General features: G+C 45.6%; 1 protein-coding gene across 5 annotated transcripts in view, besides 1 other annotated feature; it reads right to left on the reverse strand.

Annotated features, from left to right (window-relative positions):
• Positions 2,626-3,516: an enhancer, noted in NCBI's record as "OCT4-NANOG-H3K27ac hESC enhancer chr2:31108994-31109884 (GRCh37/hg19 assembly coordinates)". NCBI's record gives its function as "activates a minimal SCP1, AML or CMV promoter by ChIP-STARR-seq in naive and primed H9 embryonic stem cells {active_cell/tissue: H9 hESC(naive and primed)}" and the evidence as "EXISTENCE:reporter gene assay evidence [ECO:0000049][PMID:30033119]".
• GALNT14 (polypeptide N-acetylgalactosaminyltransferase 14) overlaps positions 3,280-22,255 on the reverse strand; it is a 251,659-nt gene continuing 232,683 nt past the window's right edge. For 3 of the 5 annotated variants that reach the window (XR_007081588.1, XR_001738943.2, XR_001738941.2), the window contains 2 exons: positions 15,896-15,977; positions 3,280-14,217 (listed from right to left, as the gene is read on the reverse strand). The gene's annotated coding sequence lies outside the window, so the exon portion shown is untranslated. Of the gene's footprint in view, positions 14,218-15,193; positions 15,385-15,895; positions 15,978-22,255 lie in introns of those variants that run through there. The other 2 variants (XR_007081587.1, XR_001738942.2) reach the window with 1 other exon arrangement.

Raw genomic sequence — 22,255 nt, forward strand, 5'->3', positions numbered from 1 at the left:
ACCCAGATTCTTGAGAGTTTAAGTAGAAAATATGCTACCCAGGTACATGGGGACCTGTTGCAGGGACTCAACAGTGCCATTTCGGGACAGGAACAGGCAACCAAGCCACAGGTGGCATAACAGAGGTATATTGTATCTCACTGCTGGAAGAGAGGAGTGTCAGGCCAGAAGCCGCAGTGAGTGTTTCATTTATCTAGGGCCTCCGTGTAGCCTTTTTTGTAATCAAAAGCATTTGCAGGGCTCTGGGCTCAAGATACAAATTTGCATATTGCTTTACATAAGTCAGCATATGGAGTTCACTCACCCCTAACGCCAAGAAAGGGAAATTAAATTCAATTAGATTAATTAGTACAACTGATTGCAAATTGTTTTCAGACCTAATATTAAGGGTACTGCACGCAGGAAATACAAAACAGATTTTTTTAATTGGGAGGAGGGAGGAGAGGGAAGGATGGGAGGGGGAAGGATGGGAGTGAGTAGCTTGGGCAGCCCAGCCAGGTATGCTAGGGAGGAGTCAGGGAGGTATGCAGGGCAGGTGGGAGGAGGGCGCTCAAGCACTTCCATGGGATACTTCAGTTTCCCTCCTCCACATGCCCCCATCCCACCTCCTGTATACAAATTATTCCTGGGCAGAGGCTGATTTACCTGGATGGTAATAAAGCTTAGGTTTAGGGCCACTCTCCGGCCTGGATCTCTTCCAAGCCTCAATCAATACTCAGTTTTGCATCTGTAATTTTTAAGTGAGGCCTCATAAGTTATGTTTTAGGTCCCTAAAAACCTCCATCATCCCTACCGCTCTCCCTTGGTTTCCTTTCTTCTTTACCTCCTTTGCTTCCTCCTTTGCTGGCTCACTTCTCCTCTTTCCTGCTTCGTTTCTTGGAATTCAGGGTTGGAGGAAAGGGCCCAAGCAAAGAGAGGTCTTAGGGTGGGTGCTGGGAGCAGCCCCTCCTTTGCCAGCCCTGCAGAGCTGTGGGTCCTTTGGGCACAGGCCTGGCCCTGTCTGGCACCAGCCAGTCCTGACACCCAGCCAGGCACACAGTGGTAGCCTCTAGCTTAGACCCCAGGGTCAGGGGTTAAGTGGTCTACCCTTATCAGGTGTGCCTGCGGCTCATCTGGTCGGGTCTTCCCTTCCCTGGCCTGCTGTGATGCTCAGACCATGAGGAAGACAAGCATCTGCCATCTCTCTTGAATGGACTCCCAGGGGCTGTGCAGGGAGAGGACCCCATTGAGAGGTCCAGCTCACTTGGCTGGGCCTGCTCCTACCCCCAACCGCCCAGTCCTGCCTGACATGTTCCAGTCACCTGGAAAGACAATGGGAATTGGGAACCTGCTGAGTCCTGAACATTCCTGCTGCCGGTCCTCTCCCACCAGCCCAGGTTCTCTGCCCTTCCCCACTAGCTAATGTCCTAGTATGCCTAGGACTGACCCATCTCAGTTTTGATAAAAAGAAATTCATCCACTTCCTTTGTCTTTGCTTTCCGGGTCTGGTCCCTTTTGATGCCATAGGGAGGGCCAGCACATTCCCCAGGGAGATGGAGGGCCTGGTCCCTGAGCCCCTGCCTTACTTCCTTCTCACACACTTTCTAAGTGAGACTCTATAGATGGGCTTTCTGCAGGCTGAGGCGCAGTTGGTGGAACAGGGATTTTTGTATGTTTCAACAGTGTCCTGGAGACTCTTCCACCTGATGCAGGTTGGGAGAATTTATTCATTCATTTATCTGTCCATCCAACAAACACCTATTGTCTCCCCTGTGCTGGTGTGAGATGATCCAGGGGTGAACACATAAAGTAGGTGTATGTAAGGGGGGTTAAGAGAAGTCCAGAAATAGCCATAATATGAAACAGCACAAGATAAGCTTTCAAGAGAGCTTGTTCAGCCATAGGGAGGGCATATCTTGTTGGGCAACCAAGAAAGACTTCAAAAAGGAGACTATGCAAACTGGCCTTTCAGGTGGGGTAAGATGGCGAAAGGTGGGGTGGAGGGGAAGGACCCACCACGCAGGACCAGAAGCAGTCACAGGAAGAGGTAGTGAGAACACCCTGGAAACGGCCCAGGTGGCAGGCCATCCCGGAAACCAGCAGTGGTTCTGCTTGGCCATGACATTAGAATTTGGATAGGGAAGTAGTTGATGGATCTGGAGAGACTGTGAGCAAAAGGCAGACTGAGGGGAAATGAAAAGGAAGGAATGGCCTCAGGAAGGAGGTAGAGAGTGTGTGGGTACATACAACGGGGATGTCAAAGCCCTCTTGTTCCTTTTCACAATTTCTCCTTTCCTGCTACTCCCAACTGATGGTGAAGAGGGAAGTTGGAAGGCCCCCAACTCTCTGTCGCCAAAGCTTGGCTCTGCTCACTCCAGGCTGAGGCCTCCATGCCTGTTTCAGGCTGGACACCCAGTCCTTTCTAGTAGCCAGAGCTTCCCCTTTGAGCCCCAGAATTCCTCTGCTGGGCCTTGGACTTTCTGAACACACTCCCTTGGGCATCCAAGAAGAAGTGGCTCCCCATTCAGGCAATGCCTACTCTGCACAATGATAAGCACACTCCTGACATTGCTAAATGGTTGTCTACTTCTAATAAACCCCATGCTGGTGGGTGCAGCATGAGAGGTAATATTCGCTCTTCCTGGCTGCCTCAAACCATAGTCAGGATTATAAAGACGCATGAATCAGAGATGGCAGCCTATAACAAAAGCTTTACCTCCAGCTGTTTTGCTCATTTTCTAAACAACAGAACACTCCCTACTTCCCCACCCCCTCTGCTTGTTCCTTTGTGTTTGAGATTCATCATCACCAAATGCTTTGGTCTAAACCCCCAGGCTTACACAACAATTGAGAGAGAGAGAGGCCAGAAATGCCTGAATTCCAGGAAGCTGCGCTGTGTCCTGTGGCCACTCGTTTTTGCCTCCCCTCGCTGCCCACCTGGAGCAGCTGCTGGTAACTTCCCACCTGAAAAGCGAATCTCAGGTTCCTCTCTGCCTGGCTGGACACAGATCATTTTTCCTGCTGGCTCTGACCCTGCCTCTCTTCCAGGGCTAAACCTGCTCCAGGAGCACTGGCTCTATAGGGTGAGACTTAGCCTGAGGTCCCCCTTGTACCACATAACTGGGCTACCACCAGGTACGAAAGATTTGCGTCCTATCTTACTTGTACCTCCATTTAAGTAACAGGGAGCCTGTCTTGGTCCCTGCCTGATGCCATGGATGTTCTAAAGTCCTAAGTTACTCTTTTATTTTTCTTTTTAGAGTGAGGTGAAATTCACAAAACAAAAAATTAACCTAACCATTTTAAGGTGAGGAATTTAATGGCCTTTAGTACATTCATAATCTTGTACAACCAACACCTTGATCTTGTCCCAAAACATTTTCATCACCCCCAGAGAAAACCCTGTACCATTAAGCATTTACTTTCCATTTCCCCAAGCCCCTGGCAACTGCCAGTTTGCCTTCTGTCTTCATGGATTGACTTTTCAGATATTTCATATGAATGGAATCATACAATATGAGACCTTAGCAAAATGTTTTTGAGGTTCATCCACATCGTAGCATGTATCAGTACTTTACTACTTTTCATGTCTGAATAATATTTCATTTTATGTATACACCACCATTTGTTTATCCATTCTTCCATTGATGGACGTTTGAATTGTTTCCACGTTTGGCTACTGTGAATAGTGAGTCTATGAAAGTGTTTGTGCATGTATTTAAGTAGCTCTTTTCAGTTTTTTTCAGGGATATATGTGGGGCTGAAATTCCTAGGTCAAATGGTAACTCTATGTTTAACTTTTTGAGAAACCACCAAACTATTTTTCACAGCAGCTGACATTTTACACTCCTACCAGCAATGTGTAACGGTTTCAATTTCTTCATATCCTTGCTAATAATTATTTTCTTTTTTTTAATTAATTTTTCATATGATAGCCATCCTAGTGCATGGTATCTCATGGTAGTTTGCCTTGCATTTTTCCAGTGATTAATAATGTTGAGCATCTTTCCATGTGCTTTTTGGCCATTTGTATGTCTTCTTTGGAGAAATGTCTATTTAATTCCAGTTTTATTTCAGGTAAGTTGTCTTTTTGTTGTCCAGTTGTAAAATAAAAGTTCTTTATATATTCTGGATATTAAATTCTCTCCAGAGATACGATTTGCAATATCTGTGGATTGTATTTTCACTTTCTTGATAATACCTTTTGACGCACATAAGTTTTACATTTGATGAAGTCCAATTTATCTCTTTTTTCTCTTGTTGCTCATGCTTTTGATGTCATACCTAAGAAAGCATTGCAAAATCTGAGGTCATGAAGATTTACTCCTAGTTTTCTTCCAAGGGTTTTTGGTTTTGGCTTTTACTCTTAGGTCATTGATACCTTTTGAGCTAATTTGTGTTTATAGTGTGAGGTAGGGTTTTCTAACTTACTCATGACTCCTGCTCCCATGCCTACCTCAGCTGGGGGTGCAACCTGGGACCTGTAGTCTGCTGGCACTTGTCCTTGATGCCTGTACTGCTGTTTCTTTCCCTGCATGACCTGTTGGTCTGGGACATCCTTTTACCCTTTGTCAGCCTCTATGACATGAATTGCTTGCCTGGACTGCTACTTAATTGGATTGGACTCCACTAGATGGGGCTTCCTCTGAGCCAACCTGCTAGGTCTGTTCCTTCCATTCCAGCCCCATTCCTGTCATAGGTCTGAGCCTAGCCATCTGTCTGCACTCTAAGACTGAGCTAGCTTGCTGCTGCACCAGGCCACTCTAGCAGCATCTTGTGACAAAAAAAGATTGCATCAATAAAGTACAGTGGACTGAGGGCATGGACTCTGCAACTGGGGACCCAATACCAGCTCTGCTGCCTACTACATGGGTGACTACAGAGAATAGTGTGATGTTTTGTGCCTCAGTTTCCTCATCTGTAAAATAGGGATACTGTAATTATTACCCCCACTTCATAGAGCTGATGTGGCAGTGAAGATAGTTAATATCAAAAAAGGGTTAAGAAGAGTGGCCAGCATGTGGCAAATGCTGCATGAGTGTTAGCTCTTATTAATAATGTCTACAAATCTCACTGGTCGCTGGGAAGGGTGTTACAACTGGAACAACAATTTAGCATGGATGAGCTCATTGTTTTCCTAGATGTAGGGTTGGGAGGCCGGGGGTGGGGATGGAAGTTGCCTACCTGAAAGGAGGAGAATAAGCCTGTTCCTACCAATGGCCATTGGCAGGCAACTAGGCACAAGGAAAGAAGGAGAAGAGGAGGGTGCAGGGCCCCAAACTAATCTTGCTGGTTGCAAAATTCTGGTGATGTCTCCCAGGTTAGCTAAATCTGTGGCAAATTCAGTCACATGATACCTGTGATCTAATAAAAAGAGGCAGAAAGCAGGAGCCTTATTTTGTTGAATTGCCATGAGTTGTATTGTCCCCCCCTCCACCCCCACCTCCCAATTTTCCTACTGTTGAGTTCTGGGTGAGTCTTGTTATCTCCCAGTGTAATTACTTACAGGATTGTGTCCTGGGGCCAGAATCACGAAGATCCCCCAGAGTCACCTGTAAAGAAGCCTGGGAGTAGGACTCCTCCCTGTCACCACCCCTGCGGCTGTGTCCTTTTCAGAGTTGCAGATGATTCATTCCTGGGAGGGAGGTTAGCCACCCGGATTTATTATCTGTCTAGATAGGGACTGTGCAGCACGACCAAAATAAAGGGCGAGAAAAATAGAGCTGTCTCAGCAAAATCTGCTGAATCAGAATTAACAAGAAAATCTTGTAACTAATGATCAGAAATTAAAATGTACTCAGGAGCTGCGGTGTTTAACTGAATAGCAGGACTGCGGGGTATACTGTGCAGGATAATGGAACTTGGAACAGCTCCTCCTCCCATTGCTGTGGGGACCCAGGTTAGACTGTTCACAAGCTTGACTAGGTAGGAGGCCAGCCCACCAACAACCCAGGTGTGCCACCCTGGACAGGGACTTCTCCCCTTACCCTAGCCCTCTACTTCTCTCATCAAAGATGCTTTACCTTTGTATAGAACCCCACTGCTTACAATCCACATCTCATCAGATTCTCATGACCACCTTGTGGGTGAGGGGAAGCAGCTTCATCCTTCATCTCTCCATTTTACAGAGGTGTACACTGAGGTGCAGGTTATGCCAGCGAGTGGCAGACCTGGGACTCAAGTTTTTCAATTTCTGGGATTCCTGTACAAAGGCATCCTGCACAGAACAAATAATCTCCTTTAATTTAGCTTTTCTGTAAACCTAGATTTTCATGTATTGTATACTTAAAGGCCTTTGTACCACAGCACGTTGGCAAATACTGTGGAGTCTGAAGGGCAGGAGTATGGCTGTTTTCTATAATTTTAAATGTTAAAAATGGCTTTCATTAGAACAAAACTCAAGTATTTTCTTGCTTGCCTAACTCTAAAAGCACTTAACAAGTTTTATAAAATAATTTGGATCTAGGGCTGCATTAAACCGTGAGTATTTTTAGTCTTGGAGCAAATGTCTCAGAAAGCTCTGGGGAATGAAAAAGAGGGGTGTAGAAGAAAATGAACCTGTGGTCTCCCCATGCCACCCTGCCTTTCAGACAACTCTCCTGGCCATTGAATCATCAATATCACGATTTGCCACATTTCACCCACCACAGTAATGGCCACCAGTAAAGGAGGAGCCCGGTGGTCTACATGCTGAGGGCGGGGACCCACAGGATGATTTGATTTGAGTTTTATTTGCAGATTTCTCTCTGGGAAGATAGAGAGGAGACTGTTCCTCCCAGAGGAGAGAGCTGCATTCTTCAATTTCAGGGAAGCAGTGGGACATACTGAGAAACGCGAAGAAATCAGTCAGGAGACTGAGCTGCTAGTCTTCCTTTTAGCACTTAGTACTCTTGAGGTCTTGAGAAAACCATTCTTCTCTGTATCTCATTTTCTGTATCTCTGAAATGGGGATAATCATGTCTCCCTTGTAGGGTTGTTGAAAACTCTCAAATAATATATGTAAATCAATATATATGCTGTGCTTATCCAATGGTAGAGATTCAATGATGAGATACACGATTATTAGTAGAAATAGTAATAGTAGTACTTGTATTGTAATAATAGGAGGCATTTATGAAGTATTTTCTAGATTTGACTTCCCCTTCTATGAATATACAAAGATGCTCTCCCACTAAAACTCCAGCTGAAATCCTATTTCAGTGCGAAACCTCCCTGAGATGCCAGTCTGAAGCCATCACTTCCTCCTCAGTGTTCCTTGTCTGCATCTCTCATTAGAGAAAACATACCTACCAATATCATCCTTTCTATTCGCTGGACCTGGAGGCATCAGGATACACAGGAGGCATCAGTATGGTCCAGGCAGAGTGGGGAAAGATATTAGGACTTGAGTGCATGGGTAGTTGGGGGAATGGTGGGTGAGGGGTCAGGACATGAGGCCTGGCAAGGGCAGGTAAGTCCATAAAGCCAGCCTGAGACCAGGAGGCCAGTGGGAGGACAGAGAAAAGTCATGCTGGGAGGATCATAGTTGAGGGATCATGGAAAAGTCAAAGTCTGGCATTAAGGCTCTGTCTAGCTAGGGCAGTGGATCAGCCCATGTTCAAGTGGGCAGGTAGTTGGCACCAGGGACATATGGGCTACAATATTAGAACCCCAAATTCCGGCATGAGACATGGGAGGAAAGGGCACACAGACCCCTGTGAATTAGTAGGTCACCAGAATCACCTAGAGGATTTTCTCAAAATACAGATTCCCAGGCTCCAGCCACTGAGATTCTGAGATTCAGATGCACTGTCAGAAGAGATTACGGGCTTTCCTGCTGTGTGAGTGCCTGTGCTAGCCAGGTGATGTCTGAAGAAGGCTTCATCATAGCAGTGGCCTTGAAACTTAATTAGAGACTTCATAAGGGTTTACTAACAGGTGGGGGGTCTTCAAGGTCTTCATGAAACAGATGCTCAGAAACTGAATGTGATAAAACAAACACTTGGTAAAGAAAAAAATTAAAAAGCAAAGCAAATGACACCTTGAGGCTCAAGAAACCAAGGTCAGCTTACATAAAAAGAAAAAGGGAAGCAGCATCTTCCAAAGACAGCTTCATGTGCAAATGCAGTCATGAACCCTAGTTCTGTCTTCAGGCTGTCCTGCATCAGTGTTGCCCCCGCAGACAGACCCTCAAAGAATAGCAGTGTCTGTGTGACAGAGCCCAGTCAGTGCGGATGGGTAAGGTTTTGAATCATGCCCCTTGTTGATTCAATCTATTTTTAAGTGATTCTTCCTGCATTATGAGAGAAGTCTCAGCCTCTCCCCGAGAGAATGAGGGTAGAGCACAGTGAGGACACCAGTGTCAAGAGGCTTTGGTTTATCAAAAGCATTTATTTGTTCTCTTCCACAAAAATGTGGTTTCTGCAATGTGGTAACCTCTCTCTATTCTTCTGCCTTATGTCCAGAAAGTCAAGCCTGGCATAAATCTCCCAGGCAGGAAACCAATAGATTGTTCGCTAGAGAAACTGGAGAAACCAAGAGCGAACACCTACGAATATTGACTATTGCGATCCCACCAATGAAAAGGCCAGATCACCTTCGATCACCCTATGGTTCAGCTCACCAGACGGTATGTGCTGCCTAATCAGGACACAGCATTTGCAGTTGTTTTAGTGTCTTGTTCTTAGAAATACTCTTACAGCCATAGATGATTACAAATTTGAGAAAATCTTCCAAGCTGAAAGAGAACAAAGCAAAGAAACAAATCCAAAGAAAATGAGAGAATTCCATAAGGGTGTATGAAGGGAAAGATGCCATCTAACAATCAAAGAAATAGTATAAGAATAAAACTCCAAAAACACGGGATGTAGGGTTTCCAAATTGAAATTTGGAAAGATCAGAAAACCAGGTATAAAGAGATGTTTAAAAGCTTCCAGGGACAGGGGGAAACAGTAACAAGCTAAAGAAAATGATTACATTGATATCAGACTGCTTGGGGGCAGTAGTGGAAACCAGAGGACAATAAAACAATTTTTAGCAATTTATTATGTCTTGTGCATTTCTCAGTGTCTCAGGAGAATAGCACTGACTGCCCTTTGTCTGGACTACCTTTTCCAGCATGTTGGTATAATGAACAGCCTTGGAAGGTAGAAACAATGTTTCCCTCCAGAGTAAAAGGCAAGCATGCCCATCATAAAGGTTTGGGCTCCCTAAGCTCAGGGTTCCTTTCTTGTAATGCTACCCATTGTGTGGGTATGGCAACATTTGGCCCTGGTTAGGGGAATCTGTACAAACAATGCTGATATCCTGACTTCTCCCACTGCTGTGAGTATTAAACTGCCTTTATCTCTGATCCAGGTGTCTTGTGTCTTCTATCAGTCTCCATGAAACTGTGGCAGGCTAACTTGTTAGCTTATACATAGGGTGAAATCTCAGGACTCTTCATAGAACTTGACAACAATGCCTTCAGGATTCGGAAGAAAAATGATTTTCATCTTAGAATTTAATAAGGACATTTTTCAAATTCAAATGTTATACCTTTATAAAATCAAATTCAAAAAATTGACCTCTGATGCATGCATTCTTAGAAATGTACATGAGAATGTTGTATAGCAAACAAAAAAACAAAGAAATGAAAAAGAAGTAAGTTATGAAATAGGAAGATACATGGTTTTATGTTTCAGAAAAGAGGGAAACACAAATTAGAGATTGGAGAAGAAAATTCCTAGGATGTTTACTATGCAGCACATGTAGAAAGCAACTAATAACACTGGAACATTTGATCAGAGAGCCTCCTGAGTGAAGGCTCTTAAGGAAAAGAAAAAAAGGAAATGATGATTTGCTTGAGATTATGGAAAGTGTTATTATGACATGTTGGAAAATTTGGAGAAAAGCATGAAAGATAGAAAACTAGGGAAGCGAAAAAAATACTGAGGCTATTATTAATTCCAGGAAAAACAAAAGATTGTACAAGAAAGGAGGTTTATTGTAATTCACTATTTGGTTTAGCACATAAATGCTGATTATTGATTTTACCAAAAATTATTTTATAAACATGTCACAAGGATAAAAGGAGAAAAATGTGAGCAGTGGTGTGGAAAAACTAAGTCCTTATCTACCATGGCATGAAGTCAATAGATAATGTCTAAAACTCATATTTCAAGAAATAGCAGAATAATTTTTAAATTGTCGAGGTAAATGCCAGGGGCAGGACCTAGAAGTGTGAAGGATGGCTGTCTCTGGGGAAAGGGAGTCGTTGCGGAGTAGGGGATTTCTATATGTAAGCATCACTTCAAACAACTATTACCTTGATTAAAAAAAAAAAAATAGAAACTTGAGCTTTTTAAAGAGACCAAGCTAGCTGGCATGGCCCTTTAGTGGGTTGAATATCCTTTTATTCAATCAAACTGGCCAAAGTATTGTCATCTCACAACCTTAGCTTTTCTTGTCTTGATTGGAAAAGACAATTTGAAAAATATGTTACATCTTGAGCTTCTCAGTTACACTATATATAATATTATTCTCATGTTTTTTAAATTAGATTTTTCTAAAAGTGCAACTTTCTAGGCGAAAAGGAAAGAGAACAGGGGCCGAAAAGGAAAGAGAAGAGGGGCCTGGAATCTGTAGCTAAGTGGGTTCCAGCTCTGCCTGCCCCCTTACTTGCTGTGTGGCCTTTGATAAGTTATTGCACTTCTCTGAGCACTGTTTCTTGCCCTGTGGATCAGGATAACACCACCTTCCTCTCACAGCAGTTACAGGCAGGGTCTGAAGATCTTAGCTCACTGTAGCCTCAGTAGACCTGGTTACTTGCACTTAGTAGGTGTCCACTAATTATTGATTGGATTTGAGTAAATTAATAATGATTTCTAAAGTTGTTTTAAAAATGGAAGTAAGTAGTTGCTATAGTTTGGGGACAGGGCTGCATGAAGCTGCAGTTGGACTAGAGATCCTCTGTTCAAAGTTCTGTTCATGCTCAGTATTCTAGACCTTTTTTTCATTCTGCCACAGAAATACAGAATTCAAGGCAATATAGTTGGGCTGTTGAAGTTAGAAAGACTCGACAGAGAAGAGGCAGAGATCATCACACTTGTTTTTACAGGAATTGCTTGTTTTATAATGGAGAATTCCCAGCAGCTGAAGGGATGAAATCTTCAAGTCATGCCTCTGACATTGTAGCTTCTGGCTCTGAAAGCTGAACTACTTCCGGTGGTTGGAACACATCTGCCTGTGGCCAGCTCTGGTTGGCTATTACCCTGAAGCTGCCTTGGTCTGTATGTCTTGAAGCCAGCTGTTGCAGGGGAGGGTGGTGAGTGGTCATCCCTCTGGACTCTTAGCCTACGGCCCCCCATTCTTAGATGGCCAGCCCCCTCAGGGATCCCAGGGAACACTGAGGACAGTGGGAGAGTCCTCTCTGACCCCGCTCCCTCCAGGCAGCTTTGGAATGTTCCGAGGCTTCTGCTGGGTTTGTACTATCAGTTCCCCAGAGCAGCAGCACAGGAGCACCTGACTGTCCATTGGCAGAGGCTGGGTCTGAGAGTTTTTCATCAGCTTCATGACCCCACAGAAAGAGTTCTTGGTAGTTAGAATGCACTATAGCCTCTTTGTGCTATCCAAGTTGCAAGGACCTATTCTGGATAGAGAAATAATCTTGACCTGTTTGATTAGATATGGAAGCAGATGAAGGAGCAGCTGCATCTTGAAGACCTGGCTGGCTCTATTCAGGTTCAATTTGACAAGCACCTTTGAGAGCCAGACCCTGACAGAGGCAGTGGGGGGTCCCATTCTCTGAGGAGCTTACACACAGTAGGGGTGGGGGAACCGACACATGGACAGAGGACATGCAGGTAATGGAGTAAGTGTTAAGATGGGCTGTGCAGAGAGTCCCCTGGGAACACAGAAGGACACGGAGACACAAAGTGTTCCACAAGGACACAAGGGTGCTATGGGGACACAAAGGGGATGCCTGCCTCCCACAGCCCTCCTGCTGGGGGCACAGAAAGCAACTCCTTGAGCAGAGTTCCCCCTTCCTTTAGTCCAGTGTTCTTCTCCAACCTCTAAACAATTAGTGTAAAGTTCATAAAAATAATGCCTCAAGGATATTACAGTGAGGATTAATCACGCTACTCAAAGGTAGTGTGGGGAAGCAAATGTGGGCTCCTGTACTTAGAATTCTGCCCTTTCTTCCCCTTGTCCTGGCAGCCTCACAACTCAGCCCTCCAATTCTCTGCAAAGCTTTTCCTTTCCCTGCTCTGTGCCCCTTGTTCTCAAGCAACCTCTGGGATAGCAGCGATCCCACCAAGCACATCCTCCCTCCCACCTTCTCTTTCCCTGCTCTCTCTCTCAAAGAAAACCTCCTCTCCCATGCTTGTTGTCCCTGAAGGCAAGGACTGGTGGCCACTTTCTGGCATAGTACCTGTTATATAGCAGGTGTCTGGTAAATATTTATTGCTCAGTGATTTACATATACATTTGGGGGGCTGATGCCACGTCAATTGGGAGGCATGGCCACTGAGAAGAGGCCCCCACTCTGCCATATATCACCTGGGCAACCTCGACCAGTTATTTAATTTCTCTGAGGCTCAACTTCCTCATCTGTAAAGCTGATGATAATATCTATCTGGAATACTGCTCGCAGTAAATAAAAGAGTGAACATAAAACACATAAACATAGCATTGGCATGTAATAGCAGCTCACGAAATGCTACATCCCCTCTCCCTTCCCTACCTAACAAATGACCCATGATGAATGACTCTGAGTCAGTGGGGTTAACCAGTTGTGAGTGATGTAGAACTACTCAGTTTTAAAAGTCAGCTCATGAAAGTGTTTTCCACAAGGGACTTCAACTGTATTTGTCACATTTTCTTTCTGATAAGAAGATGAGTTATTTGTTATTTTATCTTCAGTGTGAGAGGCAGCAGAGCCTAGAACCAGAACCCAGAACTCAAGAGTGGACTTCTTGGACTTGAATTTCACCTCTACTACAAGTTATGACTTTGGACAAGTTACTTAACCCGCTTGGTTCTCAAGTTACTCACTTCTAAGATGGAGACAATAAGAGTAGCTATTATTATATAGCTACTATTTTTATGTGCATTGACTAAGGTAAATTCCTTAAAACTCTAAGAACAATGCTGGGGACCAAGCAAGCACTGTATAAGTGGTTGCTACGCTACTAGTATTTCTCTTGTGTGTGTGTGTTTTGCAATTAAGAAATTAAGCCTGGTTATTGGATACTCAAATGGATCCATTAAGTATGGGTGCCATGAAGGAATTTACCCAGTAGGCTCAGCAGGATCTACTTGGCATGAAGGCCATTCTCTCACCTTGCTCCATCTTTCCCCCTCCCTCTTCTCCTCTGTCTCCCACATCCACCCCCACAATTGGAAAAATAGCCATTGTCTATTTTTTTTGCTCTGACTGTCAGTAACATAGTTCAGGTCTCACATCTCTGGAGTCTTTAACAGGCCCCGCCTTCTCCGAATCTTACCTGCAAAACACCTTCCTCCATGCTACTCAGTCAATCTTCCTCTTCTCACATCCTTCTTACAATGCTACGCCCTTGCTCCAAAGCCTTCAGTGGCTCACCGCTACTTTACTCGATTAAGTGCAGAATCCTCTGCCTTGCATTCAAGGTCCCCTTCCCAGCTTTACCTGCCCCCCACTTTTTTCCATGTCTCCTACACCACAGGCTTGTTGACTTGCTCTCCATTCTCTGAGAAAAGGCCTGCCCTTTCTTGTTTCTGTGCTTGTGCTCCCGTTGTTCTTACCTCCTAGGACGCAGCTGGGCCAGGTGTCCAGAGCAAGGGGACAGGAGGTAAAGGATCCAAAGCTCCAGTGGGTCTAAGACTCCTGCCCCCGGTTTGGCAAGATGAAGCAGACCCCACACCCCAAACAGATGCCCCCTGGGTAGGCAGTAGAAGCCCAGGCTGGACTCTGGCACATCTGGGGTAGCTCCCAAACTGAAAATCATGCAGGTGCCAGGCTGAAGAGAGGCAGAATTCAGGCGCGAGAGCTGAACTCGTGGGTCAGACCAGAAGTTTCTAACTAAGGGTAAGAAGCAGAGCTGGAGCTGGCGATATTCCCTAAATGTTGGTGAGAGGCACGGCCTCCCCATGAGAAGAAGGGAGCTTCTGGGGGTGCTGAGCCCCGCCTCCAGGTCCTTTTGTGGTGTCTCCTGCCGTTTTCTTCGGCAACGCACACACACTGCGCATGGCGTAGCTTCTCCACAGGGCTCAGCAGAGGAGGCCGGGACCCGTTTCCTGTGCAGAGGCGGGAAAGGAACACAGACCGCTGGGACTGCCTAAGAACTGCATGCAACTAAAGGGCGCAAACCAGCAGGGGACACCATTCCCAGAGCTGATCCTTACTGCCCTTTTCTGTTTACTTTCCCTCCTGATCTTAACCTGTTTGGGACAAATGAGCGGTGCTTGCAGGGTCTGAGTCTTCTCCAGGACTCCATGCCCCAGGCAACCCCACAGGGGAGTCTCAGCCTGGCCTCTAATGGACCTCTGAGGATTGAAGAGTGCAATGAACTGAAGGTTTTTGTCCCTCAAACTCATATGTTAAAATCCTAACTCCCAAGGTGAGGGTGTTAAGGAGTGCAGCCTTGGGGAGATGATTAGATCATGAGGGTGGAGCCCCTGTGAGTGGGATTAGTGCCCTTATAAAAGGGACCCCCAGAGAGTGAGCTCTCTCGTCCTCGTTTTGCCAAGTGAGGACACAGGGAGAAAGTGGGCCCTCATCAGACACTGAATGTGTAGGGACCTTAATCTTGGACTTCCCAGCCTCCACAACTATGAGAAATAAATGTTTCTTTGTTAAAACCACCCAGGGTATGACATGTTATAGCAGCTTGCACAGACTCAGACAAGGGGTCATCCCTCGACACTCACAGACCCTGCCCTCCGCTCTGGGACCTGATGTTTAATCCTCACGATGAACTACAAGGATGACAAACATTTCTGAGGACATATATAGGTGCCTGGCTCTGTACTGAGAACCTCATGAATCATTTCAATCAATCTCACGGTAAAATTATGAGACAGGTGTGATTATTAGCTCCTTCACAGAGGAGAAAAATTGAGTTCAGTCAAGTTAAGTAACTTGCTCTTAGTCACACAGCTGAGAACTAGAGGAGCCAGGGTTTGAACCTGTATTATCTACCACCAGAGCCCATAGAACTAGCCTTTATGCTTTAGTGGGGCATGTCAATCAAAGTGAAAGATAAGCTCAGGCTCACAGAAAGGCTTTTTGCTTTAATTCAGGGTAGGAGAGATGTTTCTGCCACTCAGTTGCTGGGGAGGGGTTGGCAGAGGGGGAGGCAAAGTGAGGGATCAAGAAGGGAAGGGGAATCGAGAGGCAACCTTGGAGGAGACTCTGGAGGCAAAGAAGAGGGAGCTCATCCTGGATGTCCTCAAACTCTTCCACTATTGGAGAAGAAAAGCTACTTTCAGTGAAACGAAAGGAATTTGGGGCCTGGGTAGAATGGAGGGGCGCTATTTTCTTGCTGTAGGGACAGGCCTGGGACATCTCTTGAGCTGAAGCGCAGGCTTGCAGAATAAAATAGAAGGCCAAGCCGAGCTCTGTTGCCACCCTCCATCTGCACACCTCAGTGCTATTAATGAGAACAGCTTTTGGAAAGAGCTTCATCTCTCTGTTGACTCCTATTTAGCATCTGGCTGTCAGGTCACACATGGTCACACTAAAAGCATCCTGCAAGATGAATGGAGGCGGGAACCCATTTTCCTTCCTTCATCCCAGGAATGGGTGAAGCTCCGTTGTTGAAGCTGCTTTGTCTTCCAGAGGGAAGGACCCACCACCCCCTCACCAATGGCAGCCCTTTGCCCCAGCACTGTGGCTGACCCAGGGAAGGCTCCGCTCTGGGAAGCTGGAATTTCTTGGAGGACCATCCAGCTGGCCATCTCTAGGGGCACTCACCGCTCCTTGCTGCATCTGGACAGTGAATTATTGCAGCCTGTTATCTTCAGTAGCAGGTGCAGGCATTCTGGGCTGCTCCTTCCTGCAGAGTGAGGCCAGGTAATATTTACTGGCTCAAATGAATAAGGTAACCAGCCCTGACACAGCATAGAAGATGCGTCTCTCACCCAAGGTTTTTTTTTTTTTCCTCCTTCTTTCTTCCTTCATTATGTTTGTAATTTTGTTTTATTATTTCCCATTGGAAAGCTGTGAAATGAAAATGATGCAATCTACTGCTGTGAAATAATGTCGTGCTCAAGTCCTTTTCCAATAAGCCCTGAGGTTTGCACTGTGACGGCTTCATTAAATTAGTCGGCTCCATGGCAAATGGAAAAGTGCTCAGAGCTTTGGAGTCTGCTAATCCGAGTTGGGCCGCCAGAGTCCACAGACCACGAGGGAGCTCGGGCGGTTAGCTCTGGATGATGCGGGAAAAGAGGCTCCCATCTGCCACGTGGGGCGTCGCAGAGGTCACGTCTGCACAGCTGCTAGGCTTTTCATATAACCCACAAAACTTCACCATACCCTTATGTGCCAGATGCTGTCCTGGGTGCTAAGAGAATGGATGGATTAGGGCAGGATGATGGCTCAGTGTGTGGAGTTGGGGAAACCAAGTCCACTTAACTCTATTACGGGTAACTTTACTATGGGTAAACTATGGTGGACCGCAGGTACAAGGTGGACCTCTCTTTGAAGGCCAGCCAGGACTCGGGTTGCCAGATGTGAGTGAATCTGCCTGAGATTCATGCAGATGAAATACAGGGCTTCCCCTCAACCCTTCCATCACCATCCCCCAGAGTTTATAAGAATAAATTCTGTCTTTTGGGGCTCTACTGAAGTGTTAAAGACTTCCATTACTGATAGTTCTTTCCAGTTAGCATTTTCAGTATTAAACTCTGTCATTATGAAGTAAAATATGCATGATCCCTAAATCTATGTGTATTACAACAAGATTTTTATTGTTATAAATTTGTCTTCTCGGTCCTCTGTTTCTGCTTTTGCTGTCTTTTTAAAACTTTAACGTTTGATAACTGTAGCCAGGAGGTAATTAGAAAGTGGTACTAAAGAATCACAGGCTTATTCTCTCACTCATTCATAGAAATTTATTGAGTGTCTACAATAAGATATGGTCCCACAGCCGGTGGGAAAGACAGCGGTGACAGCTAATTACAGCACTAAGGGATTTTGGTCTGAGCTGGCACAGGGAGCTCCCTTTCCCCCACATATATAAATATTGGATAAAACAATTTGAAATCACAGCTGCATTTGAAAGGAAAAAGGGAGAAATTCCAGATTCTAAAAACAAATGGGAATTCAGAGTCAGAGTCATGAATGAGCGCTGAAGGGGAATTGAAGCCAGATGCATATCGACGGGGCTGGGGCTTTAACACCCAGTCAGGGGCAGATGTGAAAATCACAGCCTCTTGGGTGGCAGAGGCCAGAAATGGGGCCCTACTATCGTTGTATGTTTAGAGAGCTAGACACACCCCATCCACCAGCTGGAGGAGTGGTGATGGCATGGAGCAGGACTAAAATTTTGGGTAGAAAAATGATAATCTGGGGAAGACCAAAATCCAAGCTTGTGCCAAGTAATAGAGGTGGGGTCCAAATTCTCATCACTCACAGTGTGGAAACAACCAACAGAGAAATCAATGTATAAGTCCATTTGGAGTCTATGAAACTCACTAGGACCCCGGCAGAGGCAAAGGCAAACCTTTCCTGAGGCATGCCTCCACAAGCGGGGCACCTGGGATACCTAGAGGAAGAAACTCCTGCTGAAAATGAGCTCACAGGGAGAAATTACAAAGTACAGAAGGAAACTGTGAGTGAGTCTCAGATCACTCAAGAGAGTGAGTCTCAGATCCAACATGGCACCAGTCTCAGCCACCCATATTGAGCTCAGTTTTACCTAAAAAATCCCATTTCTCCCCATTCACTCAACACCACCATGACTTCAACTCTAATCCACATAGTAGAGCATGCCTGCTATGCCTATATGTATACACACACACACAACATATATATATGCCAACATGTGTACACAAACACACAACATATATATAATAAATATATTCATATATATATAAATTCCCTTTCCTTTAATACATATATATGAGTATGTATATGCTCATATATGTGTGTATATATGTGAGTATATATATATGTGTGTGTATATATATAAATTCCATTTCCTTTAATACATATATGATTATATATATGCTCATATATGTGTATGTATATATGTGTGTATATATATGTGTGTGTGTGTATATATATACAAATTCCATTTCCTTTAATACACACATCACACCAATAAAACACTCAGATGTGCATACTGTTTCCACTACCAGATGCAACCTTGGGGGACGGGGCTTCTGCCACACCTGGCCACTTCCTCACCTGGCAGGATGGTGAGACTGCTCTAGGGTGATGATTCTCCAAGCATGGTTTGAGGTCTAAATCTTGTGAGCCTTTAAGATCCTTAGAGTGTGGGTCTTTTTTGTTGTCATAGGCTGATAGCATTTGACAAACTTTCACCTTCACCCACAGCTACTGGTGACCTACTAAGTGTGCTAGTCCAGGTTACTACCTTTTGGCATTCAAACTCAATATTCGGATTTGACTGAGGGCTCTCATTCAGCATCTACCAAAACATCAGACAGCCAGGGAAAGCTTGGCTACACACATTCTCTGCTGCACACCTGCAGGCAAAGGCATCCCTGGGGCTGGAGAATGTCACTATCCCATCCAGTGATTGTCAGCTTTGCCTCGAACTGGTGGAGGTTCAGAATGGCTGCTTTGCTCACTTTTAAATCCCCAACTCCTCTTGCTTTGGCTGCATCACCCTCAGGTTAGTGGCTAGAGAGCATTTGGATAACTCTGCACAGTTGTAGAGATTCCTATTTGCACCATCAGAGTTTTGAACCTCCATTTTCCACTAAGGAGGCTTTAAGACACAGGCACAGCAGCTCACATGAGAACCATCCCATCTCCTTTAGCAGACTACCCTCCACATCCTTTAAGGTGACTCTTCGTTATCACCCCAAGGGCTTTGGCTATAAGAGGGAGGCCAGGGGGACAACTAAGCCACATCAAAATAGGCTGAGATGAGGTGTGTTTGTCCCCCTGGGGCTGAGGCCTTTATTCCTTTGCCCCCATTCCTTTGGGTGTTTGAGAAACACCCAACACCACCTGCATTCTGTGACTTTATAAGGGTAGGAAAACATAAATAATGTCACTTGTCCCAGACAAGGAATAGTTTTTCAATCATCCATTTAGGAAAACGCCCACTGAGAGGCTGAAATGCCCAGCCCAGCAGTGGGGATAAAGAAGAGATAAGTTTCTTGCCACCAGGGAGCTCAAAGACAGGCACATACACTGAGGGCGACAGAGGACAGATGAGGACGATCCCAGGCTCTCTTATATTTACTTTAGTGCAGTACCTGTTTCACTACATAGGAGAGAGGTTGCTGGTGAACATGCCTGTTCTCATTCTTCTTTGCAGGCCTGGTTTCAACAGAGCCTGGACACAGAGCTTAGGAGCCATCAGAATGTCTTCTATAGATGGCTTGATTTACCCATGACCTCCCTTCTCTTTCCCAGTGTGGAGCAAAAGTGCTTCAACAAAAGAGCCACATCGTAACTATAGGAGGCCACAAGAGCATTGCAGAAACAAACAGATCCAACACCAGAGGAGCTTCTGGGGCTGCACACACTCGACTCTTTACTTTCCAAGTCTATAGCAGTCTGCGGTAATGGATTTTATAATGATGACCTTGAACTAATTCCCATCACTGAAGGGCTTTCTGGATGAAGGGGAAACAGATACCTGCTTAGAATATAACAGTTCCTGTGGTTGGCAGATTCTAAAATGGCTCCCAGCAATTGCTGCCTCCTGACATTAATTCTTTGAGTGCTGGCTACACCTGATGCCTTGCTTCTCTAAAATAAAATATGCCAAAAGCAAGGGCAAGTAATTTATAACTGAGATGAGTTTATAAAAGACTGTGACTTCCGTCTTGGTGGCACGCTTGCCATCCGGGCTTACTTGCCTGGGTGAAGCAAGCAGTGATGCTGGAGAGGCCCACATGGCAGGGGACTGAGGGCAGCCTCTGGCCAACAGCCTGCGAGGAACCAAATCCTGCCAACAACTGCTGAGTGAGCTTGGAACAGATCCTGCTCTAGTTGAACCTTGAGATGACTGTGACCCTGGCCAACGCTTTAATGGCAGCCTTGTAAGACACCCTGAAGCAGAGGATCTCACTAAGATATGCCTGTATCCTTGTCCCACAAAAGCCATATGGGAATAGATGTGTGTTGCTTTAGGCTGCTAAATTTCAGGGTCATTTGTTATGCAGCAGTGGATAACAAAGCCAATTACCAAAGAGCATGTAGGAAACTCACCTGGGCAGAGAAGGTATGGGCATATTTTGGGAACTTCATATGGATTGGTTCTTCTCTTAAACCCTAGTTAATAAGAATGGACAACCACCATAACCCATTCCTAGGGCACACCAGTAAGCTGGGGATTTATTAGAGTAAGAAACTTCTATGCTAAAGGCCACAGGCCATAAAGCCCTAGCAGCCAGAGAGATCATCCTAGGGTAATGTTTTTAAGCAAGGAGTGGTGTCAGAATCAGCTGAGATGTCTGGACCCAACCCCACACCTACTGAACCAGGATCTCCACAGGGAGCCTACAGCCTCCAAGTTAGACAATTCCCCAGAATATGGCAGGTGTGCATCATCAATAGAAACCCCTGATCTGGGGAGGAGCCAAGATGGCCGAATAGGAACAGCTCCCGTCTACAGCTCCCAGCGTGAGCGACGCAGAAGACGGTGATTTCTGCATTTCCATCTGAGGTACGGGGTTCATCTCTTTAGGAAGTGCCAGACAGTGGGCGCAGGTCAGTGGCTGCGTGCACTGTGTGCGAGCCGAAGCAGGGCGAGGCATTGCCTCACTTGGGAAGCGCAAGGGTTCAGGGAGTTCCCTTTCCGAGTCAAAGAAAGGGGTGACGGACGGCACCTGGAAAATCAGGTCACTCCCACCCGAATACTGCGCTTTTCCGACGGGCTTAAAAAATGGCACACCACGAGATTATATCCCACACCTGGCTTGGAGGGTCCTATGCCCACGGAGTCTCGCTGACTGCTAGCACAGCAGTCTGAGATCAAACTGCAAGGCAGCAGCGAGGCTGGGGGAGGGGCGCCCGCCATTGCCCAGGCTTGATTAGGTAAACAAAGCAGCCAGGAAGCTCGAACTGGGCGGAGCCCACCACAGCTCAAGGAGGCCTGTCTGCCTCTGTAGGCTCCACCTCTGGGAGCAGGGCACAGACAAACAAAAAGACAGCAGTAACCTCTGCAGACTTAAATGTCCCTGTCTGACAGCTTTGAAGAGAGCAGTGGTTCTCCCAGCACGCAGCTGGAGATCTGAGAACGGGCAGACTGCCTCCTCAAGTGGGTCCCTGACCCCTGACCCCTGAGCAGCCTAACTGGGAGGCACCCCCCAGCAGGGGCACACTGACACCTCACACGGCAGGGTATTCCAACAGACCTGCAGCTGAGGGTCCTGTCTGTTAGAAGGAAAACTAACAAACAGAAAGGACATCCACACCAAAAACCCATCTGTACAACATCATCATCAAAGACCAAAAGTAAATAAAACCACAAAGATGGGGAAAAAACAGAACAGAAAAACTGGAAACTCTAAAAAGCAGAGCGCCTCTCCTCCTCCAAAGGAACGCAGTTCCTCACCAGCAACAGAACAAAGCTGGATGGAGAATGACTTTGACGAGCTGAGAGAAGAAGCCTTCAGACGATCAAATTACTCTGAGCTACGGGAGGACATTCAAACCAAAGGCAAAGAAGTGGAAAACTTTGAAAAAAATTTAGAAGAATGTATAACTAGAATAACCAATACAGAGAAGTGCTTAAAGGAGCTGATGGAGCTGAAAACCAAGGCTCGAGAACTACGTGAAGAATGCAGAAGCCTCAGGAGCCGATGCGATCAACTGGAAGAAAGGGTATCAGCGATGGAAAATGAAATGAATGAAATGAAGCGAGACGGCAAGTTTAGAGAAAAAAGAATAAAAAGAAATGAGCAAAGCCTCCAAGAAATATGGGACTATGTGAAAAGACCAAATCTATGTCTGATTGGTGTACCTGAAAGTGACAGGGAGAATGGAACCAAGTTGGAAAACACTCTGCAGGATATTATCCAGGAGAACTTCCCCAATCTAGCAAGGCAGGCCAACGTTCAGATTCAGGAAATACAGAGAACGCCACAAAGATACTCCTCGAGAAGAGCAACTCCAAGACACATAATT

The sequence above is a fragment of the Homo sapiens genome, chromosome 2 (genome assembly GCF_000001405.40).
Source record: "Homo sapiens chromosome 2, GRCh38.p14 Primary Assembly".
Classification (NCBI taxonomy): domain Eukaryota; kingdom Metazoa; phylum Chordata; class Mammalia; order Primates; family Hominidae; genus Homo; species Homo sapiens.